Source organism: Homo sapiens, chromosome 16, assembly GCF_000001405.40.
Source record: "Homo sapiens chromosome 16, GRCh38.p14 Primary Assembly".
Taxonomy (NCBI): domain Eukaryota; kingdom Metazoa; phylum Chordata; class Mammalia; order Primates; family Hominidae; genus Homo; species Homo sapiens.
The window spans coordinates 16,000,463-16,025,663 of NC_000016.10; the positions used below are offsets into that span (position 1 = coordinate 16,000,463).

The 25,201-nt window shown below is 48.4% G+C and overlaps 1 protein-coding gene across 27 annotated transcripts in view, besides 1 other annotated feature; it reads left to right on the plus strand.

Moving 5' to 3' along the window:
• The window catches only part of ABCC1 (ATP binding cassette subfamily C member 1 (ABCC1 blood group)), a 193,911-nt gene that overhangs the window by 51,320 nt on the left and 117,390 nt on the right, over positions 1–25,201 (plus strand). For 15 of the 27 annotated variants that reach the window (XM_047434134.1, NM_004996.4, NM_001438755.1 and 12 more), the window contains exons 2-5: positions 7,354–7,530; positions 9,314–9,439; positions 14,029–14,166; positions 16,034–16,159. In XM_047434134.1, coding sequence (XP_047290090.1) covers positions 7,354–7,530; positions 9,314–9,439; positions 14,029–14,166; positions 16,034–16,159 — 567 coding nt within the window. Of the gene's footprint in view, positions 1–6,292; positions 6,332–7,353; positions 7,531–9,313; positions 9,440–14,028; positions 14,167–16,033; positions 16,160–25,201 lie in introns of those variants that run through there. The other 12 variants (NM_019901.2, XM_047434147.1, NM_001438719.1 and 9 more) reach the window with 4 other exon arrangements.
• Positions 21,610–21,904: an enhancer, noted in NCBI's record as "tiled region #4662; HepG2 Activating DNase unmatched - State 5:Enh, and K562 Activating DNase matched - State 5:Enh". NCBI's record gives its function as "activates a minimal TATA promoter and a strong SV40 promoter by Sharpr-MPRA in HepG2 and K562 cells {active_cell/tissue: HepG2 | K562}" and the evidence as "EXISTENCE:reporter gene assay evidence [ECO:0000049][PMID:27701403]".

The following is a 25,201-nucleotide window of genomic DNA, read 5'->3' on the forward strand; positions in this document are numbered from 1 at the left end:
TATCAGGAGACTGAAGCTTGGAGAAATTAAGTGACTTGCCCAAGTTCACATGGGGTTAAGGCCTGAATTTGAATCTACATCTGCTCAATTAGGAAGTGAGTGGTCATAGCTAGTCTCTACCTGGATGGATTGTTGTTTAATTGTTAAATTTTTTCAAAATAATTTTAAATTATTTTATTAAAAAAGAGGGTATCATTATGTTTCCCAGGCTGGTCTTGAACTCCTGGGCTCAAGTGATCCTCCTGCCTTGGCCTCCCAAAATGCTGAGGTTACAAGTGCAAACTACTGTGCCTAGCCAGATTATTACTTAACAACCAAAACAAAGGAGGAAATTGACGGTGGACAAGTAAGAAGATCATTGCAAAGGTTGGGGGCAGGTTGTTTGGGGAGTGTGGAGGAAGCTTTTTAAATGAGGTACCTGAGTTGGATTTTGAAGGATGAATAGGAGTTTGTTAGGACAGAAAGACATTGCAGAGAGAGGATCTAGCAAGAGGTGACTGAAGAAACCATTTATTTGACCAGCAGTTGGGGAATGCCTTGAAGGCAGGAACCACAGCCTTTCAGAATCTCCAGTGCCTGCAACAGTGTCTAGAACATTATCTGACAACAAGCTTGGTAAATACTTCTTTAAGTAAATGCCTGAGTAAGGCACATTTGGGGAACAGGGTGGGAGAAATTGTAGGAGAAGTAGATGGGACTTGAATGTAGAAGGAAGGCCTCATGGATCACTGCAAGGGTTGGTTATTTTTTTTTATTTTTTATGTTTTGAGATGGAGTCTCGCTTTGTCGCCCAGGCTGGAGTGCAGTGGCGCGATCTCGGCTCACTGCAAGCTCTGCCTCCCGGGTGCACGCCATTCTCCTGCCTCAGCCTCTCCAAGTAGCTGGGACTACAGGCGCCCGCCACCACGCCCGGCTAATTTTTTGTATTTTTAGTAGAGACGGGGTTTCACTGTGGTCTCGATCTGCTGACCTCGTGATCCACCCACCTCGGCCTCCCAAAGTGCTGGGATTACAAGCGTGAGCCACCGCGCCCAGCCAGGGTTGGTTCTTAAAAGCCAATAGGGAGCCATGGGAAGTTGTTTCCCAGCAGAAGAGAGAAGGCCATTAGATCTGCCCTATTTATTAATGCAAATATCTAAGTCTATGAATCTTCCTCTGAGCAGGAAAACGTGATTGCTTTTAAATCCATATGGAAAGACCCTCAGTTTTACTCATGATAAAGAGAAAAGGAACTTAAACTACACAGAGATATTTTTCACTTCAGATTGGCAGAGGTCGGAAACTTGTTATCTGCTGTGCTTTGTGAAGTAATTGCCTTTGTACCTTATCAGCTGGAGTATGAATTGATGTTCCCTATTTGGAGGGCAGTGTCTGTCTAAATGTTACTGTAGGCACCCTTTGACCTGGCAGGTTCCTTTTTTGAAAGTTTATATATATGTGAGACAGAGTCTCATTATGTTGCCCAGGGTGGTTTCAAACTCCTGGGCTCATGGGATCCTCCCACCTGGGCCTCCCAAAATGCTGGAGTTACAGATGGGAGCCACCACACCTGGCAGAGAAAGTGATCTTATCAACACTCTTGCTTGAGTGTGAAATTCAATTGTTTATTCAATGCTGCATTGTTTGTAAGAGGAACACCAATGCCAAGTCCCCAGGAGACCGATGGAAGTCAAGTTCATCCCTACAATAGAATACAAAGCAGCCGTAACAAAGAGTGAGGAAACTGTTCATGTATACTGCGGGATGATCTTTAAAATCTGTGGTTAAGAGAAAAAAGCAAAGTACGGAACATTATGTAACGTATGCTTCCTTCGATTTGATAACAGAAGATGTATATTTACTTTATTTTTGTATAAAATATTTTCTGAAAGAAGACATAAGCAACCCATGATCATTGCCTCTAGAGAGAGGAACTGAGGGGAGGGCCATAGGGAATGGAATGAGAAGACTTGTCCCTTGTACCTCTTTGTTCAAAAGAAATATCAAGAATAAAACACATCTATGTTACTGATAAAGATAGTTTCCAAAGGCTGTGTGCGGTGGTTCACACCTGTGATCCCAGCACTTTGGGTGGCCAAGGCGAGTGGATCGCTTGAGCTCAGGACTTTGAGACCAGCCTGAGCAACATGGCAAAACCCCATTTCTACTAAAAATACAAAATTAGCTGGGCATGGTGGTGTGTGCCTGTGGTCCTAGCTGCTCAGGAGGCTGAGGTGGGAGGATTGCTGGAGCCTGAGAGGTTGAGGCTGCAGTGAGCTATGATTGCACCACTGCATTCCAGCCTGGGCAACAGAGTGAGACCTTGTCTCAAAAAAAAAAAAAAAAGTTCAGTTTTTAATATTAGCTAAGTAAAAAAAAGCAAGGTATAGAATGGAGTATCGTAGTGCCTTTTGTGGCAACAAAATAGGTCGTATTTGGAATATATCTGGAAGAATGTAAGATGTTAGCAATGGTAGCTTGCCTGTAGGGTAGCAATGGGGGGCTGTTAATTTGGGGAGAAAGACATATTTTTCACTGTATACCTTTTTGAGTAATTTGAAAGAGTTTTAGCACACAAATATATTACCTATTAAAAATAATTACAAAGAGAGGGAGACATGGGTGGATGCATGGATGGATAGTTGGTTGGGTAGATGGATACATAGACAGGTGGATGGATTGGTTGGTGGATGGATGGATGAACTGTTGGGTGGGTAGATGGATTGATGGGTGAATGAATTGGTAGGTGGGTAGGGTGGATGGATGAATTGGTGGATGGGTAGGTGGATGGATGAATGAACTGGTGGGTTGCTGGATGGGTGGATGAATTGGTAGGTGGGTGGATGGATGGATTGATGGGTGAATGAATTGGTAGGTGGGTAGGGTGGATGGATGAATTGGTGGATGGGTAGGTGGATGGATGAATGAACTGGTGGGTTGCTGGATGGGTGGATGAATTGGTAGGTGGGTGGATGGATGGATGGATGGGTGAATGAATTGGTAGGTGGGTAGGGTGGATGGGTGAATTAGTGGATGGGTAGGTGCATGGATGAATGAATTGGTGGGTTGGTGGATGGGTGGATGAATTGGTAGGTGGGTGGATGGATGGATGGATGGGTGAATGAATTGGTAGGTGGGTAGGGTGGATGGGTGAATTGGTGGATGGGTAGGTGGATGTATAAATGAATTGGTGGGTGGGTGGATGGATGGATGAACTGGTGGGTGGGTGGATGGATGGATGGATGGGTGAATGAATTGGTAGGTGGGTAGGGTGGATGGGTGAATTGGTGGATGGGTAGGTGGATGTATAAATGAATTGGTGGGTGGGTGGATGGATGGATGAACTGGTGGGTGGGTGGATGGATGGATGGGTGAATGAATTGGTAGGTGGGTAGGGTGGATGGGTGAATTGGTGAATGGGTAGGTGGATGGATGAATGAATTGGTGGGTGGGTGGATGGGTGGATGAATTGGTAGGTGGGTAGCTGAATGGATGAATTGGTTGGGGGGGGTGGATGGATGAATTGGTGAGTGGGTAGTTGGGTGGATGGATGCATTGGTGGGTGGGTGGATGGATGAATTGGTGGATGGATGGATGGATGGGTTCATGGTTGGGTGATAAATATATCCATGGGTATACATATGGATGTGTACATAGATAATTCTCTGGCTATGATAGGGAGGACTGGCTGTGGTGGGGAACACTGACTGTGGTGGGGAGCACTGGCTGTAGCGGGGAGGACTCAGTAGGACAAGGAGAGGCTGGAGGCAGTGAAGACTTAGGAAGCAGTTGCATAGTCCTGGCAAGGAATAATTTGGGGCTAGGATCAGGTCAATTAAATGTTTAACATTGGAACTATGTCTCTTGTATACATAACTGCATATGTCAAGTCTTGGTATCGTTTTCTTTCTAGCAGGGCACATTCCTTTGGAATGAGCTTTTACTGGCAACTGCTCAGAAGCTGTTCTGTATATAATGACCACCAACAGTTTAATCCTTTTTTCAGCCATCACCTCAGGAATTAACAGTAGTATGAAATCAATTAAAATAATCAGTCTTTGAGATGTCATGCCTTCTCCACGATCAACTTCTTCTTTACAAGGCTGTGTTCCAAATACGCCAGGCCAAAAAGACGTGAACTTTGTCCTTTTTAGGGTTTGTGTCTTGATGTTTCCTGGCTAAATCTCTTTGTATGTGTTGGCCTTGTAAGGTTTACTTTTTTTTTTTTTTTTTTTGAGATGGAGACTGTGTTGCCCAGGCTGGAGTGCAGTGGTGCAGTCTCAGCTCACTGCAACCTTTGCCTCCCGGGTTCAGGTGATTCTCCTGCCTGAGCCTCCCTACTAGCTGGGATTACAGACGTGCACTACCCTGCCCGGCTAATTTTTATGTTTTTAGTAAAATATAAAAATTATGTTTTTATGGGGGGTTCTTGCCATGTTGGCCGGGCTTGTCTCAGACTCCTGACTGCCTGCCTAGGCCTCCCAAAGTGCTGGGATTACAGGCATGAGCCACCGCGCCCAACCTAATAACTAGATCTCTTTAATTATTGGAACATGTATATTTTGATCAGATTGACACTTTTTTTTTTAAGTGAAGTGATCTTATTTCCCTCATTTCTCATTTTTAACTTTTTTTTTTTTTTGATATGGCTTTAAAGCTCTGTGGAGCTGTAAGGGTCTGGGTTCCTTGACACTCCATGGGGGTCTCAGGTGATCGTGGGAGGGCTGTTGGAATCAGAGCTATTTGGAGGGTGCATAGGCCAGTAGGATGGGAAGGCTGTGGGAGAAGTGGGCTTTTTGGGGACCGCAGCCAAATGGACAACTGGGCCTAATCTAAAGATTGGCCCCTCCCAGCTCCTACTGATGGTCATGTAACAGGAATGGGGCCCAGCACCACCAGATTTTCTGATTTTTTTTTTTTTTTTTGAGACACAGTCTTGCTCTGTTGCCAGGCTGGAGTGCAGTGGCATGATATTGGCTCACTGCAACCTCCGCCTCCTGGGTTCAAGTGATTCCCCTGCCTCAGCCTCCCAAGTAGCTGAGACTACAGGCATGCGCCACCATGCCTGGCTAGTTTTTTGTACTTTAGTAGAGATGAGGTTTTACCATGTTGGCCAGGATGGTCTTGATCTCCTGACCTCGTGATCCTCCTGCCTCGGCCTCCCAAAGTGCTGGGATGACAGGCGTGAGCCACTGCGCCCAGAAGATTTTCTGATTTTTAAAGTTATGCCAGAGACCGGGCGTGGTGGCTCACGCCTGTCATTCCAACACTTTGGGAGACTGAGGTTGGCAGATCACCTGAGGTTTAGGACTTCGAGACTAGACTGGCCAATATGGTAAAACCTTGTCTTTACTAAAAATTCAAAAAAAATTAGCCAAGCGGGGTGACCGCAGTCCCAGCTATTTAGGAGGTTGAGGCAGGAGAATCACTTGAACCCGGGAAGCAGAGATTGCAGTGAGCCGAGATCGCTTGAACCCGAGAAGCAGAGATTGCAGTGAGCTGAGATCATGCCACTGCATTCCAGTCTGGGTGACAAAGCAAGACTCTGTCAAGAAAAAAAAAAATAAAAATAAAAAGCCGGAAATCAAATTTTAAATGTTGGGATCTAATCTAATTTTTTTAAAAACAAAAAGTATGCCTAAAACAACAGCAATAACAACAAGCCATCTATGGGCCAAACTGTGGGTGGGGAAACCTATTTTGTACTTCTTATTTTATCCGATTGAATTGTGGTGGAGATAGGAAATTGAGACCCCAAAAAGGGTAGTAAGTTTTCCCAAAGTTATTTAGTCAGTTGCCAGATTATGGCTTGAATTAAATTTAAATTCTTCAGCTGGGCATGGTGGTGCACACCTGTAGTATAGCTGCTTGGGAGGCAGAGGTGGGAGGACTGCTTGAGCCCAAAAGTTCAAGGCACAGGAAGCTGTGATCTTACCACCACACTTCAGCCTGGGCAACAGAGCAAGACCTCATTTCAAAAAAAGAAAAAAAAAAGAAAAATTTAAATTCTTCATTACAGAACAGCTGATGGTGGAGGTTTATTCTTGGGCAGGTACATCTGATCTATTTATGTATGTATCTATGAATTTGTCTATTTGGCATGGCTCTTTAGCAAAATACAGGCTTTTTTTTTTTAAGTAAAAGTAATTGAAACAAAATTTGTTTCCAAGGCTGGACAGCTCAGTGGCAAAATGCAGACTTGAACAACATTGCCCGAGTTTGAATTCAGCTCCAGAGCTTACCAGCTGTGTGATACTGGACACAGTATTTAACCCTTCTGTGCCTGAGTTTCACATCTGAAAAAGGAGATGATAAAAATAATTACAGAATGAAAGGAGATAATACACATGAGGTACTTAGAATAAAGCCTGGCATACAGAACTGCAGTTTGGTTGTTATCCGTGGTGGTGGCGGTGGCGGTGGCGGTGGCGGTGGCGGTGATGGTGGTGGTGATGGTGGCGATGGTGATGATGATGGTGGTGATGGTGGTGATGGTGTTGGCAGTGATATTGGTGGTGGTGATGGTCATAGTGGGGAAGGTGATGATGATGAATGAAGATGATTAGAAAGTCCTCAGTTCACAAGGTCAGAGTGATCTAGATGACACAGGGCTCTTCGGTTATAAGAGAATATCCTTCAGGGTTCCTTTAAATGGCTCTCTCCATCTTTCGTACTACAGTGGGACTTGCCACAGGTTCTGGGGACTGTTAATGTGAGATGAGATGCTACATACCTTTTTGTTGTTGGTGGGTTTTTTTGTGTGTATGCACTGTTGTGTGTGTGTGTGTGTGTGTGTGTGTGTGAGAGACAGGGTCTCGCTCTGTTGCCCAGGGTGTAGTACAGTGGCATGATCTCAGCTCGTTGCAACTTCCGCCTTCCAGGCTCAGGCACTCCTCCCACTTCAGCCGCCTGAGTGGCTGGGAATACAGGCACGCTCCATGCTCAGCCACTTTTTGTGTTTTTCATAGAGGCAGCATCTCACTATCTTGCCTAGGCTGGTCTCGAACTCCCAGCCTAAAGTGGTCTGCCCACTTGGCCTCCCAAAGTGCTGGGATTACAGGCATGAGCCACTGCACCTGACCTGTATGCTCCTGTTAAGAGAGCTTTATTTTTATTTATTTATTTTGAGACAGGGTCTCTGTTGCTCAGGTGGGAGTGCAGAAGACACCACATACCTTTATCCCTTGTTCCTCATTTCTTAGTCTTTCTGGCTACTGATCTTTTTAGTTTGCGTGTTCATCCTGAAAGGTCCTTGGATATATAGGAGCCTTGTCTGTTTCTTCAAACCCCGTGGCAGCTGGTTTCATGCTCCAGGCGAGCTCCTGTCCTCTGGGGTGTGTCCTGCTGACCCCTCGCCTGTGTTTGTGTTCGCAGGACTGGAATGTCACGTGGAATACCAGCAACCCCGACTTCACCAAGTGCTTTCAGAACACGGTCCTCGTGTGGGTGCCTTGTTTTTACCTCTGGGCCTGTTTCCCCTTCTACTTCCTCTATCTCTCCCGACATGACCGAGGCTACATTCAGATGACACCTCTCAACAAAACCAAAACTGTAAGTCACTGGGGGGTTTCGTTGTGGGGGGTGGGAAGGTGCACCTGGACGGGGAGTGGTGGTTGGTGATAACTGACATTTCTCTTCTACTTAGTTGACCCTAAGTTCCTTCTTCTAGAAGGCAGAAGAATAATGTGGGAGGTGAAAACTGGAGCTCTGGAGACAAACATGGGTACAAATCTTTGCTCTGCCGCTTAGTATTTGGCCTCGAGCAAATTTTTTAACCTCCCCAAGCCTCAGTTTCCCTGTTTATGCAATAGGAATGATAGGCTTGTTCTCAAGGCATTCCTGGGAGATTATCAGCTCTTCCCCTCTTACTGAGCCGATCTCCTTTTTATTTAATTAAATATATTTATATAGATTTTTTCTGGCCAATTTTTAATTTATTTTTTGTAGAGAGGGGGGACTTGCTGTGTTGCCCGGGCTGGTCTTGAACACCTGGCCTCAAGCAGTCCTCCTGCCTTGGTCTCCCAAAGTACTGGGATGCTCAGTGTGAACCACCACGCCTGGCCCCTAATTTTTTTTTTAAGTTGGCTTTTATTTTGAAATAATTTAAAGCTACAGGAAAATTGCAATAATGGGCCAGGCGTGGTGGCTCACGCCTGTAATCCCAGCACTTTGGGAGGCCAAGGCGGGCAGGTCAGGAGTTTGAGACCAGCCTGACCAACATGGTGAACCTGTCTCTACTAAAAATACAAAAATGAGCTGGGTGTGGTGGCATGTGCCTGTAATCTTAGCAACTTGGGAGGCTGAGGTGGGAGGATCCCTTGAACCCAGGAGGCAGAGGTTGCAGTGAACTGAGATAGTGCCACTGCACTCTAGCCTGTGCAACAGAGCGAGACTCCTTCTCAAAAAAAAAAAAAAAAAAAAAAAGTTGCGATGATACCAGGAACTGCTGCCTGATTTTCTCTATCCATCACTCATAGTCACTGTTTCCTGTTTTTTTTTTTTTTGTTGTTGTTTTTTGTTTTTTTTTGACACAAGGTGTTGCTCTTTTGCCCAGGCTGGAGTGCAATGGTATGATCACAGCATACTGCAACCTTGAACTCCTGGCTCAAGCCATCCTCCTGCCTCAGCTTTTTGAGTAGCTGGTAGCTGGGACTGCAGGCATACACCACCATGCCTGGCTAATTTAAAACAATTTTTTGTAGAGACAGGGTCTCGCCTTGTTGCCCAGGCTGTTGTCAAACTCCTGGCTTCCAGTGATCCTCCTGCCTCGGCCTCCCAAAGTGCTGGTATTACAGGCATGAATCTGGCCTGTATTCACTGATTTTTTAATCTTTTGCTACATTTGTTTTATCATGAGCTTTTGTTCTCTCTCTCTGTATGCATGCTATAATTTATTTTTTCTGAATCATTTGAGAATGGATGCACCTTGAAACATATCCCACCCGTAGAGGGCTCTCAGTAAATACTGGTTGAATGAATGGTTGTCGTGGAGGGCTTTCTTGTGCAGTGCGCCGGAGTTGCAGCTAGAGATGAGCTGTGAGCTGAGCTCTTGAGTGTTCAGGCACCGGGGAGCATGGTGACCAGACAAACAGTCCTGTTGGAGGTAGTGGGGCGTAGCAGGCTGATTACAGACCATCACGTGCCGGCCTGGATGCCAGCTCACCATACCGAGGACTTGTCCTTATTCCAGTGGATATGTGCCATGTCCTAGGACTGTGGCTGATCATTTGAAGGCTGGCTGGTTCTCCTATCCCTGGGGCTGAGCTGTTCGTGCAGGCCCTGGGGGAGGTTCCAGGGCGGTCTGTTGTAGGATATGTATGTGCTTCTCTTCCAGGCCTTGGGATTTTTGCTGTGGATCGTCTGCTGGGCAGACCTCTTCTACTCTTTCTGGGAAAGAAGTCGGGGCATATTCCTGGCCCCAGTGTTTCTGGTCAGCCCAACTCTCTTGGGCATCACCATGGTAAGTAGGAGCTGGCTGTGACCCCTGGGCCATCTGCTGGGCTCAGTGGAGACCAAAAGTAATAACTCGTAAGACTAGAATCATAGTTTTTTAAGGCAATGATCAGCTGGAGCTGGGATATAAATTAAATGTAGCCTTTTTTTTTTTTTTTTTTTTTTTAAAGACATGAGATCTCGCTTTCATCCAGGCTGGAGTGCTATGGTACCATCATAGTTCACTGCAGCCTCAAACTTCTGGCCTCAAGCAATCCTCCTACCTCAGACTTCTGAGTAGTTGGGACTACAGGTGTGTGTCACCACGCCCAGCTTATTTTTGGCTAATTTTAAATTTTTCTGTAGAAATGGGATCTCACTGTGTTGTCTAGGCTGGTCTTAGACTCCTGGCCTCAAGTGATCCTTCCAGAGCACTGGCATTATAAGCATGAGCCACTGTTCCCAGCCCCAGCTGCAGTCTTTGGATGGGGCATGTGTTGTCCAGTTTGCCACAGTCCCCACCATGCCCTATTGTCTTCCCTGCCACTGATTGAGTGGCAGATGCCCCCTTTTGTTGCGTTTGCCACACTTTGCTCTTGCATTGGCTACTTTGGTCACTTATATACTAACTGCCTGGGGTCTAATGGCCTTGAGTTTTCACTATCTGGCATAGGGGGTGGGTTGCTAAGCTAAATAGGAAACTGCTCTGTCCCGGGGGATACACAACTTAGTGAGTGACAGAGACAAGGAAACAACTTTATTAATTACAGCTGGTGTGTATTGAGCACTTACTATGTATGTACCTGGCAGTATTCTTGGTGTTTCACGTGTCTTGAAATTCATTGAATTTTCACAACAACCCTGTGAGATGGGTCCTGCTTTGTTCCCATCTTACAGGTGAGGAAACCAGGCAAGAGAGGTTAAGTGTCCTGCTCAAGATCACACCACTAATGTGCAGCCGAGTCAGGGGTGGGACCCCAGATGCCATGCTTTTAGCCCCTGCAACCTGCAGCTTCTGAGCCCTGAACAGAGAGTTCTCGGAGAGTGTAGCCCTTGAGTATTGTAAAAAGAGGAGGGAGGCTGGGCATCGTGGCTCATGCCTGTAATCCCAGCACTTTGGGAGGCTGAGGCGGGAGAATCACTTGAGGTCGGGAATTTGAGACCAGTATAGCCAACATGGCAAAACCCCGTCTCTACTAAAAATAAAAAAATTAGCCGGCGTGGTGGCACACGCCTGTAGTCCTAGCTACTCAAGAGGCTGAGGCAGGAGAATTGCTTGAACCCGGGAAGTGGAGGCTGCAGTAAGCCGAGATCGCACCACTGTGCTCCAGTCTGGGGGACAGAGCGAGACCTCATCTCAAAAAAGAAAAAGAAAAAAAAAAGGAGAGAACAAGTTTAAGGCAGGACATTCTGAGCAGGGTGAACAGTGTGTCCAGGGAGGGGTGGAAGGTTAAGGGGAGGATGCAGGCAGGGAGGACAAGGTGTTCGGTGAAGGAACACGGTGTGAAGGTTGGGGGGATAGAGTGGATGTGACAGAGGGGTCAGGAAAGACAACGTGGAGCCAGGTTGCCAAGGACCATGAATCTTTATTTTTCTAAATTAATTTTTCATTTTTTAAATTTTAGAGTCAGAGTCATACTCTGTTGCCCAGGCTGGACTTCACTGGCGTGAGATCACAGCTCACTGCAGGCTTGAACTCCTGGGCTCAAATGATCCTTCTGCCTCAGCCTCCCAAGTAGCTGGGAGTGTAGGCATGCACCAACATGCCCATCTACATTTATTTTTTATTTATTTATTTTTTTATTTTTCCCCCCGAGATGGAGTTTCGCTTTGTTGCCCAGGCTGAAATGTAATGGTGTGATCTTGAGTTGCCGCAACCTCTGCCTCCTGGATTCAAGCGATTCTCCTGCCTCAGCCTCCCGAGAGGCTGGGATTACAGGCATGCGCCACCACGCCCGGCTGATTTTGTATTTTTAGTAGAGATGGGATTTCACCATGTTGGCCAGGCTGGTCTCGAACTCCGGACCTCAGGTGATCCACCCACCTAGGCCCCCCAAAGTGCTGGGATTACAGGCATGAGCCACCACCCCCGGCCAGTTTGTTATTTTTGTAGAGACAGGGTCTCCCTATGTTGCCCAGGCTGGCCTCAAACTCCTTGTCTCAAGTGATCCTCCTGTCTGGGCCTCCTAAAGTGCTAGGATTATAGGTGTGAGCCACCATGCCCTGCCCAGACCATGATTCTATATAGCACACATATGTGCTGTCCACTCTCTGCCAAGAACTGTCCTAATCCCTTTATTAACCCTTTTACGTTGTAAATAAGGTAAGCAAAGTGTGGTACAGAGAGGAGAAGGACTGGCCCAAGGTCACCTGGTCAGTAAGTGGTAGAGCCAGCTTCCAGTCTAGGCCCCAGCGTGTAGCCTGGCACCTGCTTTACGCCTGGCTCTCCTGCTGGGTTTGATTCCCCTTTGTGTCCTCAGAGCCTGGCCCTGTGCCTGGCATGCAGTAAGCGTTCCATAAATGCATGGAGGGAATGAGAGAGTAAAGGGCTTTGCTTTGTCCTGAATTCGGGTCTTGGGCTCTGTGTTCTGGCAGTGGGGTATTAGAGTGGATTTTTTTTTTTTTTTTTCAATTTCACTATAATAGAGACAGGGTCTTTCCATGTTGCCCAGGCTAGTCTTAAACTCCCGAGCCCAAGTGATCCCTCTGCCTTGGCCTCCTAAAGTGGTGGGATTACAGGCATGAGCCACCATACGTGGTCAGCTGTTTTTGACTTGAGTAGGTCATCCTCCCTTAACATTCCTTGTTCCTGGTCTTTTTTTTTTTTCCTTTGAGGCAGAGTTTCGCTCTTTTTTCCCAGGCGCAATGGCATGATCTTGGCTCACTGCAACCTCTGCCTCCCGGGTTCAAGTGATTCTCCTGCCTCAGCTTCCCCAATAACTGGGATTACAGGCACGCGCCACCACACCTGGCTAATTTTTGTATTTTTAGTAGAGATGGGGTTTCACCATGTTGGCCAGGCTGGTCTCAAACTCCTGGCCTCAGGTGATCCACGTGCCTTGGCCTCCCAAAGTGCTGGTATTACAGGCGTGAGCAACTGTGCCTGGCCGTTCCTGGTCTTTTGATCGTTCATTTATGCCTCTGTCACCCTGGGGGAAACAGGGGTGATAGTCTGAGGGTTGGGGCTTTTGACTCCTCAGGGGACTCTGAGCTGGGCTGGCCAAGAGGTGAACTGGCCTGTGAGATCCTCAGCCTCTCTTTATCTACCTGAGATCTCTGGGATGGAATGGAGGACCACCAGCTCAGCTGTGAATGTGTCAGAAACATTCTGACTATATCCCAGGGAACCAGGATATGCAGGCACTGGTAATATGGGACAGGATGCAGCCAGCACATGTTTTTTTTTTTTTTCTTTGAGATAGCGTCTCACTCTGTCGCCCAGGCTGGAATGCAGTGGCATGATCTCAGCTCAGTGTAGCCTCCGCCTCCCAGGTTCAAGTGATTCTCCTGCCTCAGCTTCCCAGCTAGCTGTGACTAAAGGCGTATGCCACCACGCCTGGCTAATTTTTGTATTTTTAGTAGAGATAGGGTTTCACCATGTTGGCCAGGCTGGTCTCAAACTCCTGACCTGCCCGCCTTGGCCTCCCAAAGTGCTGGGATTACAGGCATGAGCCACTGCACCTGGCTGATTTTTTTTTTTTTATCCCTACTCTGTATCAAGCGTTGGAGACACAACCATATAGTCTAGCTGTGCAAACAGACATTAAACAAATGATTCCTCAAAAGGCACAAAGTGTTTGAACGTCTGCAGAGTGCTGTGTGAGGGTGAAGGCAGGGGAGCTTGGTTTGGTCTGGGGCATAGCCAGGCTTCTCTGAGGGAGGGATGGTGGAGGTGAAGCCTGAGAATGAGCAAGTTGTTAAAAAGCTTAAGGGGCTGAGGGCAGAGGACCAGCTGCGGAGAAAAGCACATGTAAAGTCCTGAGGGTCACAGGGAAAACTTGAGAGTTGTGTGTGGCTGGAGCAGAGATGGCCGAGGCAGAGAGCAGGGGCGATGGGGCAGAGGCTGACCCCGGGAACGTTGAGCATCAGGGCAAGTGGGTTTTGTTTTCTGTACTGGGTTCTCTGCCTGTTCTTTTAAATAAAGTTTTATTGGCATGAAGGCATGTCCATTCATTAACATCTTGTCTATGGCCACTTTCACACTGCAGTGGCAAAGCTGAGTAGTTTTGATGTAGTCTATGGCCCATGAAGTCCAAAATATTTATTACGTGGTCCATTAAGAAATAGTGTGGCTGGGAGCAGTGGCTCACACCTGTAATCCCAGCACCTTGGGAGGCCAAGGCAAGTGGATCACCTGAGGTCAGGAGTTTGAGACCAGCCTGGCCAACGTGGTGAAACCCCGTCTTTACTAAAAATACAAAAATTAGCTAGGCATGGTGGCGGGCACCTGTAGTCCCAGCTACTTGGGAAGCTGAGGCAGGAGAATCACTTGAACCTGGGAGGCGGAGGTTGCAAGTGAGCTGAGATTGCACCACTGCGCTCCAGCCTGGGTGACAAGAGTGAAACTCTGTCTCAAAAAAAAACCCAACAACTCCTGTCTTGTGCTTCTCTCCTCAGCTGCTTGCTACCTTTTTAATTCAGCTGGAGAGGAGGAAGGGAGTTCAGTCTTCAGGGATCATGCTCACTTTCTGGCTGGTAGCCCTAGTGTGTGCCCTAGCCATCCTGAGATCCAAAATTATGACAGCCTTAAAAGAGGTAAGTGGCAGTCTCCTTCCTCATCTTCCTTCAGTGGACCCGGAGGGAGAGATGCTGGGTCCCTCTGGCTTGTGTAGAAGTCATGCGTTGCCATGGGAACCAGGGGCTGGGTACCACATGCACCTAGCTTCTCCCTTGGTGACTTTCCTACCCCACCAAATCCTCACTAAATCAGCCCCAGCCTTTTTTCTAGCACCTCCTTTCCCCAGGGCCTGATTTGTCTGTGTTGCTCCAAGGGGCTCCCATGGGACCTCCAAGGGCAGGAGCTGTGGGCCGATGCCAGGCTGGCCCCATCAGCAGGAAACAGCAAGACAGGCGGCTCCAAATTTTGCCAGGCTGGGATGGAGCCGAGCCGGGAACGGTGTTTGCAGAGTGACTGTTCCCCTGGGGGACCCTAGGCTTGTCCTCGCGTTACCTTTGTCCCATCAGTTGCTGCTCTGGCTGGGGAAGTTGTTTACATTGGCTGCTGTGTGCTGCTGCTAGGAATTTTGAGGAGTGTGCACTTTTTTTTTTTTTTTTTTGCTGTTGTTGAGGCGGAGTCTCGCTCTGTCACCAGGCTGGAGTGCAGTGGCACGATCTAGGCTCACTGTAACTTCTACCTCCTATGTTCAAGCGATTCTCCTGCCTCAGCCTCCCCAGTAGCTGGGACCACAGGCACGCGCCACCATGCCCAGCTAATTTTTGTATTTTTAGTAGAGACGGGGTTTCACCACGTTGGCCAGGATGGTGTCGATCACTTGACTTCGTGATCCACCCGCCTCGGCCTCCCAAAGTGTTGGGATTACAGGCGTGAGCCACCACGCCTGACCTGGAGTGTGTGCTTTTGGAATAACCTGCTGTTCCTGCCATCTTGGAGCTAATTAGAGACTGGCATGAGGCAAAGGAAGGAAAAGAAGCTGAACATTTGACTATTGATTGCCTACATATTATTATGAGTGATAGCAGCTGATGCTGATTGAGTTCATGTTTTCAAAGTGCCTCGCAGGGGACTGTGTATGTGTCACGAATAATCTTCCTGACCTCTTGCAGTGACTTGGACAGAATTTCTCAGCCTCAGCACTAATCGACATTTTGGATTGGAGACTCGTTGGTTGTAGGGGCTGTCCTGTGCTTTGTAGACATTTAGGGGTGTCCCTGGCTTCCCCTGACTGGGTGCCATAACACTCCCAAGTTACCACAAAGAAGATATCCCCAGACACTGCCAGATGTTTCCTGGGAGGCAGAATCACCCCTGGTTAAGAACCACCGGTGGTTTATAGGTGGGGAATCTGAGGCACAGAAAGGTTAAATAAGTTGACAAGATCCCACAGCCAGTGTGAGAGAGCCAGGCCTTGATACAGCTCTGTTTCACTCCCAAGCCCTGTCTTCCTCCCATCAGGCAGCGGTGAGCAGTGAGACTACCCGTGATGGAGCCGGCTTTCTGCCATTACATCCCGGGGGGAGCTGGGAGCCCCTGGGGAGCCTGCAGTGTCCCTGTGGCTGAGTGGGTTTCTGCCACCTGCTCTCAGAATGTGATCTTGGTTTTTTTTTTTTTTTTTTTTTTGAGATGGAGTTTTGCTCTGTCACACAGGCTGGAATGCAGTGGCGTGATCTCGGCTCACTGCAGCCTCCGCCTCCTGGGTTCAAGTGATTCTCCTGTCTCAGCCTCCCGAGTAGCTGGGATTACAGTTGCCCACCACCACGTCTGGCCAATTTTTGTATTTTTAGTAGAGACGGGGTTTCACCATGTTGACCAGGATGGTCTCCAACTCTTGACCTCAGGTGTTCTGCCTGTCTCGGCCTCCAAAAGTGCTAGGATTACAGGCGTGAGCCACCACACCCAGCCCCAGAATGTGATCTTTTTCTTCCTTCCTTCCCCACCATGTAGGATGCCCAGGTGGACCTGTTTCGTGACATCACTTTCTACGTCTACTTTTCCCTCTTACTCATTCAGCTCGTCTTGTCCTGTTTCTCAGATCGCTCACCCCTGTTCTCGGAAACCATCCACGACCCTGTAAGTGTGACCACAGATGAGTGTGTGTGCGTGTGTGTGTGAGAGAGATGCGTGACACAGTACCAGCTAACATTTCTTAGATCCATCCAGGATCTCGTTCCAGCCTCCCTCAACCCCTGATACAGGGAATATCATCCCACCTACTTTACAGATGGAAAAACTGAGGCTTAGATGTGGCTGGGGGAGCTGAAGGAGAGAATCTGCTTTGTCATTGATGAACTGCTGTCTTGCAGGCCTGTAGGTTTCTCACTTGGCATGGTGATTTTGGAAAATGTGAGCAGATAATTACAAATCAGGTATTTTTTATGAATTCTAGCTGTCCAGATGTTCTGGAAAAGTAAAGTTCTGACAGATTAGGCCTATAATCCTACAGGGCAGAGCTGAGGAGTTGCTGGAGTCCCCGGCACTCCCTGTTGTATTATACTGGCATGCTTTCCTCACTTGTGGCAAATGCCTGGCCCCTGAGGGATTTGAGTGTGAGATCCTTGGTCTATTTTGTCAGTTTCAGAGAAATTCTGTAAATATGGAAACTTATCAGTGAGGAGTGTAGAGATGGCCACCGTTTCTGCTAGTAGAACAAAAGGGAACACTTTATTAATTTCCCTTAATTCTTTTCTTCTTTTTTTTGAGACAGGGTTTTGCTCTGTTGCCTAGGCTGGAGTGCAGTGGTGTGATCTCGGCTCACTGTAGTCTTGACCTCCTGGGCTCAAGCAATCTTCCTACCTCAGCTTTCTGAGTAGCTGGAATTACAGGCACACACCACCATGCCTGGCTAATTTTTTTTCTTTCTTCAACTTTTATTTTAAGTTCCAGGGTATAGGTACAGGATGTGCAAGTTCGTTACATAGGTAGATGTGTGCCATGGTGATTTGCTGCACAGATCAACCCATCATCTAGGAATCAAGCCCAGGATCCATTAGCTATTCCTCCTGATGTTCTCCCTACACCTGCTCCCCAACTTGGCTTACTTTTAATTAATTAATAATTAAAGATGGGGAGATGGTCTCAAACCCCTGGGCTCAAGCGATCCTCTTGCCTTGGCCTCTCAAAGTGCTGGGATTACAGGTGTGAGTCACCACGCCTCGCCTATTCTTTATTTTTTTAAATAGAGATGGGATCTTGCTGTGTTGCCCAGGCTCATGTGCAGCTTTTGATAAGAGAGATCTGGGAAGGCCTGCCCAGAAAACTGCATGTGAGCGGAGACCTAGAGGGGTGAGGTAGTGGGTGGAGCAAACACCTAGAGGAAGAGTGTTCCAGGCAGAGGGGAATAAGTACAAGGGCCCTGGGGTGGGGAGGTGTGGAGAGAACAGCAAGAAAAGCCAGCACAGCAGGAGAAGGCTAAGAGACAGTGGGTGCCTGAGAGGTGGGACAGCCCCCTTGTGAGCCAGATGAGCTGTTTGGGTTTTATTGTGAGTATGGGGCAGGGAGGCCTTGGAGCACCTATTTGATGCTGATTCATGGCTAGTCAGCTGGTAATGGGCGGATTGCAGTGGGAGAACTTTTCACCTCTGTGGTTCTGTTGGGTTTGGCCTAAACCTCTGTGAGGGGCAGAGGCTCACCTTGTGGGTGACGAAAGGGCTTGGTGGGCATCAGTATGGAGGAGGAGGTTGATGATAACTAAGAGATTTTAGAAACCTATGTCTCAGGCCAGGTGTGGTGGCTCACACCTGTAATCGCAGCACTTTGGGAAGCTGAGGCAGGCAGATCAGTTGAGTTCAGGAGTTCGAGACCAGCCCAGCCAACATGGTGAAATGCCATCTCTGCTAAAAATACAAAAATTAGCCAGGCATGGTGGTGCATGCTTGTAATCCCAGCTAGTCGGGAGGCTGAGGCAGGAGAATCTCTTGACCCTGGGAGGCGGAGGTTGCAGTGAGCAGAGATCACACCACTGCGCTCCAACCTGGGTGACAGAATGAGACTCTGTCTCAAAAAAAGAAAAAAGAAATGCATGTCCCAGTGTATGTTCTGAGGAGTCCCGTGTTGGTATTTCCTTGCCCAAAGAGGAGCTGGGTTGGAGAAATGAGCAAGTGCACACATCTGTGTATGTATTCCTGTGCATCTGTGTGTACGTGTGCATGTGCCTGCTTGTGTGTCTCGGTAGTCATAGGCATGTATATGCGTGTATGTGCTTATATGTGAATGTGTGCTTGTGAGTGTGTTTATGTTCATGTATGTGTGTGTTTGTGTGTGTGTGTGTCTTTGTGTTGTGTGTGCTTGCATATGTATAAAGTTCACAAAGGCAATGGTGACTCATGCCTGTAATCCCAGCACTTTGAAAGGCCAAGGCTAGAGGATCGCTTGAGCCCAGGGGTCACCCCATTTTGGATCCCTGGCTGGTGCCTGACACAGAAGAGAGGGGCTCATGAGTCAGTGGCTGTTATATGTATTGTGTATCAGTGTGTGTAAGTGTGTGGCAGCCGAGTGTCCCTGTTTGTCAAATGTTGGGCTATTCTTTTTTGTCTTTTGTTTGTTGTTTTTTTCTGTTGTTTTGTTTTGTTTTTAGACGGATTCTTGCTCTTGTTGCCCAGGCTAGAGTGCAGTGGCATGATCTCGGCCCACTGCAACCCCGCCTCCTGGGTTCAAGCGATTCTTCTGCTTCAGCCTCCTGAGTAGCTGGGATTACAGGCGCCCATCACCATGCTCGACTAATTTTTGCATTTTTAGTAGAGATGGGGCTTCACCATCTTGGCCCGGCTGGTCTCGAACTCCTGACCTCAAGTGATCCACCCGCCTCGGCCTCCCAAAATGTTGGGATTACAGGTGTGAGCCACCGTGTCTGGCCGAGCCATTCTTTAGAACTGGGATTTATACAAAACAAGTCACACCTCAACTGGGTGGCTGCAGACCTTGGATTGCTCAGGGTAAACAGAGTCTGGTTGGGGCTGCCTGGCTGGCGTGGGGATCACCCAACCCATCAAGCTTCCTCTGGGAGCCTGGGAAGAGCTCTCTTGCCATGGATGGTTCTGGAAGCTTTTTGAAGGAGGGACTTTCTTAATTTCTGATCTCCCTTGGGAATCTGGATAAATTCCCTTTCACTTCTCCCCTGGGCGTGTGTGTACCAGGGTGACTCACAGATCTGACTTGGACCTTTTTTTGTGCTTTCTGCATTCCTGGCAGCCTGGGCCTGGGATTTGCTCTGCCACCCTGGGTGACATGAAGCTCTCAGCTCTGGCGGCTAAAAGGCTACACTGTTGTGGGGCTGGGACACCCTGACTCTTCTCCCCAGTCATTGTTTTCTGTTTCTGTGTCATCTCCCCCAGCTCGGCTCCTCCTGTGTCACTGCTGGTCTTCCAAGATGGTGGAAGACACTGTGGTTTGTCTCTTTGCAGTCTCGCTCTGTCGCCAAGGCTGTAGTGCAGTGGCATGATCTTGGCTCTGCAGCCTCTGCCTCCCAGGTTCAAGCAATTCTCCTGCCTCAGCCTCCTGAGTAACTGGGACTACAGGCGCACACCACCATGCCTGGCTAGTTTTTGTATTTTTAGTAGAGATGGGGTTTCACCGTGTTGGCCAGGATGGTCTCGATCTCCTGACTTCAAGTGATCCGCCCACTTTGGCCTCCCAAAGTGCTGGGATTACAGGCTTGAGCCACCGTGCCCGGCTGTGGTCTGCCTCTTGTGCAGTGAGATCCAGCAGGGTGTCAAATGTGGGTGTGCAGGCTGCTGCATTTCTGACATTTGTGCACCTGTCCAGGAGAGAACACTTTGATTGGCTGACACTCTCTGTCCAGGAAGCCTGAACTTCCCTCTGGGTTCCTGTTCAGGAACCCCATGGGGTTGCCATTTACCTTTTTGCAGATTAGAGTTTAGACCAGGAGTTAGCCAGTAGCCCATGGGCCGAATCTGGCCTGCTGCCTGTTTTTGTAAATAAAGTTTTATTGGAACACAGCCACTCGCGTTCATCACATAGTGTCTACAGGTGTCTGGAGCTGCAGCAGTGGAGTTGTGTAGTTGCTACAGAGACTGTAGCACCCACAAAGTCTAAGATACCTACCATCTGACCCTTTACAGAAGAAGTTTGTCCACCCCTGGTCTAAGCATTTCTTTAGCTCTGATGACTTTTTAGCTTCCTTTTTTGTCCCCTTTCCATTTGCAGGCATTCTTTCTTCCTATGCAAGGCAAGGACGGGAATCGACATTTATTAGATGCTTGCGGTGTACTGGCTAGCACTATGCTAAGTTCTTTATATGCATGTCTCACTTGACTCTCACAGCAGTCCTGGTGAACTTGGTACTATTTTTCTCATTTTACAGACAAACAATCGCAGACATAAGTGCCTTGCTCGACCTGAGTAGTAGAGCAGAGATTCGAACTCACGACTGGCTGTTGTGCACAATCATGTCACTTCGCTTGGTTGTAACTGCTGAATGGGAGGGTCTTGGCTAAATAATGGCTTTGTGTTAGGCTAGAGGCTTCACGTGGCAGTATCCACCTTGTAACCTCAGTGCCTAAGACACAGCCAGGCACACGGTGGGCCTGTAGTGGTAATTTATTGTTGTGTTATATGGGGAGGTGCTCAGTACATGTGGCACGTATATTATGTCTTGCATAAGGGTGAAGTGTGCATGAGGCCTCACAGGACATCAGATTAAGCTGCTTCTCTGCCTTCATCCTGTTCAAGTATTACCAGCAAGAAAGAGGAAGGGGACTGATGTATGCACAGATGTTCTGAAGGCTTGGCATGGTGTCAAGAGCCTTATTTTTTTTTTTAATGTTGCATTTTGGGGGGTTAAATATATGTAACCTAAGATTTGCCATTTTAACCATTTTAAGTATGCAATTCAGTGATGCTAAGTGCTTTTAAAAATCTTGTTCAAGGCCAGGTGTGGTGGCTTACACCTATAAACCCAGCACTTTGGGAGGCCGAGGCAGGTAGATCACCTGAGATCAGGAGTTTGAGACCAGCCTGACCAACATGGTGAAATCCCATCTCTACTAAAAATACAAAAATTAGCTGGGCATGGTGTTGAGCACCTGTGATCCCTGCTATTTAGGAGGCAGAGGCAGGAGAATTGCTTGTGCCCGGGAGGCGGAGGTTGCAGTGAGCTGAGATCGCTCCAGTCTGGGCAACAGACTGAGACCCTGTCTCAAACAAACAACGAACAAATGAACAAACAAACAAACAAAATAACCACATAACTACCTAGCAACGTAGCCTAGCAATTGAGATGGGGGCAAGGAAGGGTAGGAACCAGGTCCTGTGAGAATCAGCTAGACTTGTGGCTTTGGGCTCGGTGCTCTTCCTTTGGGGACGTCAGCAGCCCCTTCTTGAAAACGGGTTGCAACTCGATTTGTTGTTGGCTTCACCTCCTCTCTCTGTCCCAGACCTGAGCCCTGTGATCTGGGGAGGAGGACAACGGGACAACCTGTTTGCTTGTTTTCCCATCACTCTCAGGGATTGAATCACAGTGGAGCCAGGAAGATGGGGAGAGTCCAGGCTTGCTGCTCTCCCATCCTCAGAGCAGCAGCAGGCCATCCATCACCTGTCGCCTGTCCTCAGAGTGATCAGCCAAGGCCTGGGGCGGCTGGGGTCAGGTCAGGCAGGGCGTGGGTGGGAGCTGGCAGGGCTGGCTCCTCCAGGCCACTTCGTGCTGAGTCACTGAGTCGGCCAATCCTCCCCAGCTGGCCCTGCTCCCACTCCATGACTCAGATGTCTATTCCAGCCCTGGCTGCTTGGTGGGGCTCCTCCCATCTGTCCTTCTGGCTCTGGGGCTGCCGAGGCTTTTGGGAGCCTGGGCAGGGCTGACCAAGACTGCCAGAGCTCCGGCCGGTCCCCAGTCTCCTGCCTTTTTTCTCATTGGCACTGAGTCTGTGGTTTAGGTTTGGGGGAGGAGGGTCTTGTAGATAAGGGGATCAAGGCCAAAGGAGATCATTTATTAGGTCCCAGCTGAAAGCAGAGGTCCTTGGACCAGTTGGAATGCTCGACATCCCCCGGAAGCTTGCTAGAAATGCTGGGTCTCAGGCCTCATCCCAGACCTACCAAGTCAAACTCATTTTAACAAGATCTCCAGGTGGTTCAGGGTTGCAAATCACTGGTTTGGAACATTCAGTGAAAGCTACTCAGCTCGTTTGCAGTAAGAGGTATTTTTAGTCCTGTCTGTATAATATGTAATATTTTCCCCCCAGCATTTTACTATGAACATTCTTAAACCTACAGAAAAGTCGAAAGAATTCTACTGTGAGCAGTCATATAGTTGGTACCTAGAGCCACAGTTAACATTTTGCTAAACTTGCTTTGTCACATATCTGTCTGTCTAACCAGATAGCTAATCAGCCAGCCAACCGGCTACTTTTGTTTTGTTTTTTGTTTTTGAGATAGGGTCTCACTCTGTCTCGCAGACTAGAGTGCAGTGGTGTGATCATAGCTCACTGCAGCCTCCAACTCCTGGGCTCCAATGATCTTCCCGCTTCTGCCTCCCAGGTAGCTTGGGCCCTACAGGTGCACACTACTGTGTTTGGCTAATTTTTAAATTTTTTGTAGGCGTGAGGGCTCCTTATGTTGCCCAGTCTGGTCTTGAACTCCTGGCCTCAAGCCATCCTCCCACCTCAGCCTCCCAAAATACTGGGATTACAGGCCTGAGCCACTGAACCTAGTTTTTTTGATATCTGAAACTTCCTTCGAAATATATTAGTATTCTTTCATGCACCCACTTCCAAGTAAATCATTAGCTAGAGTTTAAGATCTGTTTACACTTCTGAGTTTTTTGCTTAAAATTTACATACAGTGAAATTGCTGATCTCAAGTTAGCATTTGATGAATCTTGGTAAAGGAATACTTTAAACCCCTGTCAAGATATAGAACACTGCAAGGACGCCAGGAAGTTCCCTCGTGCCCCTTCATGATCAGTCTCTGTCCCCACCCACCAAGGCCTGATCTTGGACCGTTGATTAAAGCGTTGAAACTCCATTTTCTTTCCATTTCTCCGTCATGCTTTCAGTCATTTAATAATCAGGTGTTGTGCCAGGGGCTGAGCTAGAAAGAAACAGACCTTGACCACTGCCCTGGAGGAGAGATGGAAGGTGGGTGGCAGGCAGTTGAACCAACAACTGCAGGATGGACAGTGGGGGCTCTGAGGGAGGGAAGTGCTGGGAGTTGTGGGGGCTGGGAGAGTGGTCCCTGACTCAGCCTGGGGCTCCAGGGCTAGCATCCAGGGAGGAGAGGGGATGCTCAAGTCTAAGGAATGCGAGGCTCTGGCCAGGTGAATATGTTTGGAGGTGGTGGGGTGGGAGGGTGCTCCTGGTAGAGCAACTGGCATGTGCAAAGGTCCAGTTGAGGGAGCTTGTGGGTGTTGGGAATCACTTGGAATTCGGCTTGGCTAGGCTGGGTGCAGTGGCTCATGCCTGTAATCCCAGCACTTTGGGAGGCCGAGGCAGGCAGATCACCTGAGACTAGGAGCTCAAGACCAGCCTGGCCAACGTGGTAAAACCCCGTCTCTACTGATCATAAAAAAATTAGCTGGGTGTGGTGGTGCATGCCTGTAATCCCAGCTACTCGGGAGGCTCAGGCAGGAGAATTGCTTGAACCCGGGAGGCGGAGGTTGCAGTGCGCCGAGATCGCGCCACTGTACTCCAGTCTGGGCGACAGAGCAAGACTCTGTCTCAAAAGAAAGAAAGAAAAAAAGAATTCTGCTTGGCTAGATTGGAAGGGCTAGGATGTAAGCGAAAAGAGAGGCAAGAGTCAGCATCAGAGATCAAGGGTGCAATTATGTGTCACAATAAGGACTTGGAATTTTTTGTTTGTTTGTTTGTTTTGAGATGGAGTTTCACTCTGTCACCAAGGTTGGAGTGCGGTGGTGCCATCTCAGCTCACCGTGCCCTCCACCTCCGGGGCTCAAGCGATCCTCCCACCTCAGCCTCGCAAGTAGCTGGGACCATAGTTGCGTGCCACCACGCCCAAGTAACTTTTTCTGTTTTTGGTAGAGATGGGGTTTCTGTATGTTACTCAGGCTGGTCTTGAACTCCTGAGCTCAAGTGATGCCCTGCCTTGGCCTCCCAAAATGCTAGGATTACAGGGATGGGTGAACCACCACATCCAGCCAGGACTTGGAATTTTAACCCTACTGTGGTGGGAGCTGAGGAAAGGTTTTTCACCAGTGGAATGACACACTCAGGTTGGACAGGTTGTGGAAGATCCTCAGGCTCAAAGGAAGAGGATACATTGGACATGGGGGTGAGGTCGGTGGCACTTAAAAAGCCTTTGCAGGCACCCAGGCAGGTAGAGAGGGAGGCTGAGCCAGGATATTCCCCTGTGCCCACTACAGCATCAAAAACCAGAAAAAGGGCCAGGTGCGTGGCTCACACCTGTAGTCTTGGCATTTTGGGAGGCTTAGGGGGGAAGATTTCTTGAGACCAATCTGGTCAACATAGTGAGACCCCATCTCTTGAAACAAAAAAACAAAGAAAACAGACAAGTTGATGGGCAAAGGGCATGGGCAAAGATTCTGGGGTGTGCTCCAGTAGAGGAAACGGAGGTCCTGGGCAGGGAGGCATTTTGCACAGTTGGTAAGCAACAGGGCAAACAAATCACCAGTGTTTACGTTATACTGGCAAATCTCTTACTGCTGGACATTTAGGCTCCGTCTAATAATAAGGATAACAGCTGGGTGCACTGTATTATTTATTTAGTCCTCACAGTAGGGCAGGATGATCAGTCTCCCCACTTGACAGATGAAGACACTGAGGGTCAGAGTGGTGATGTGTCAGGAACCCTCCCACTGGGTTCTCACGCTTGAAACACAGATTGCTGGTCCCCACCCACACAGTTTCTGATGCAGTAGGTCTGGGTGGGGCCCGAGCATCTGCGGTTCCCAACAAGTTCCCAGGTGCCACCGATGCTGGTGACAGAGCTGCGTTTGAGGATCACTGCTCTAAACATTATTGCTGCTGCACGCATTGCCTCCTGCTGGGTGCAGGGGTTGTGGGGGGCACTTTGGCAGTGCAGAGCGGAGGTAACCAGCAGAAAACCCGTTAGAACTAAAAGCTGAGAGTGTTTCTGACAAACAGGTCAACATGCTGAAAGACCCAGACAAGGTCCTTAAACTACCCT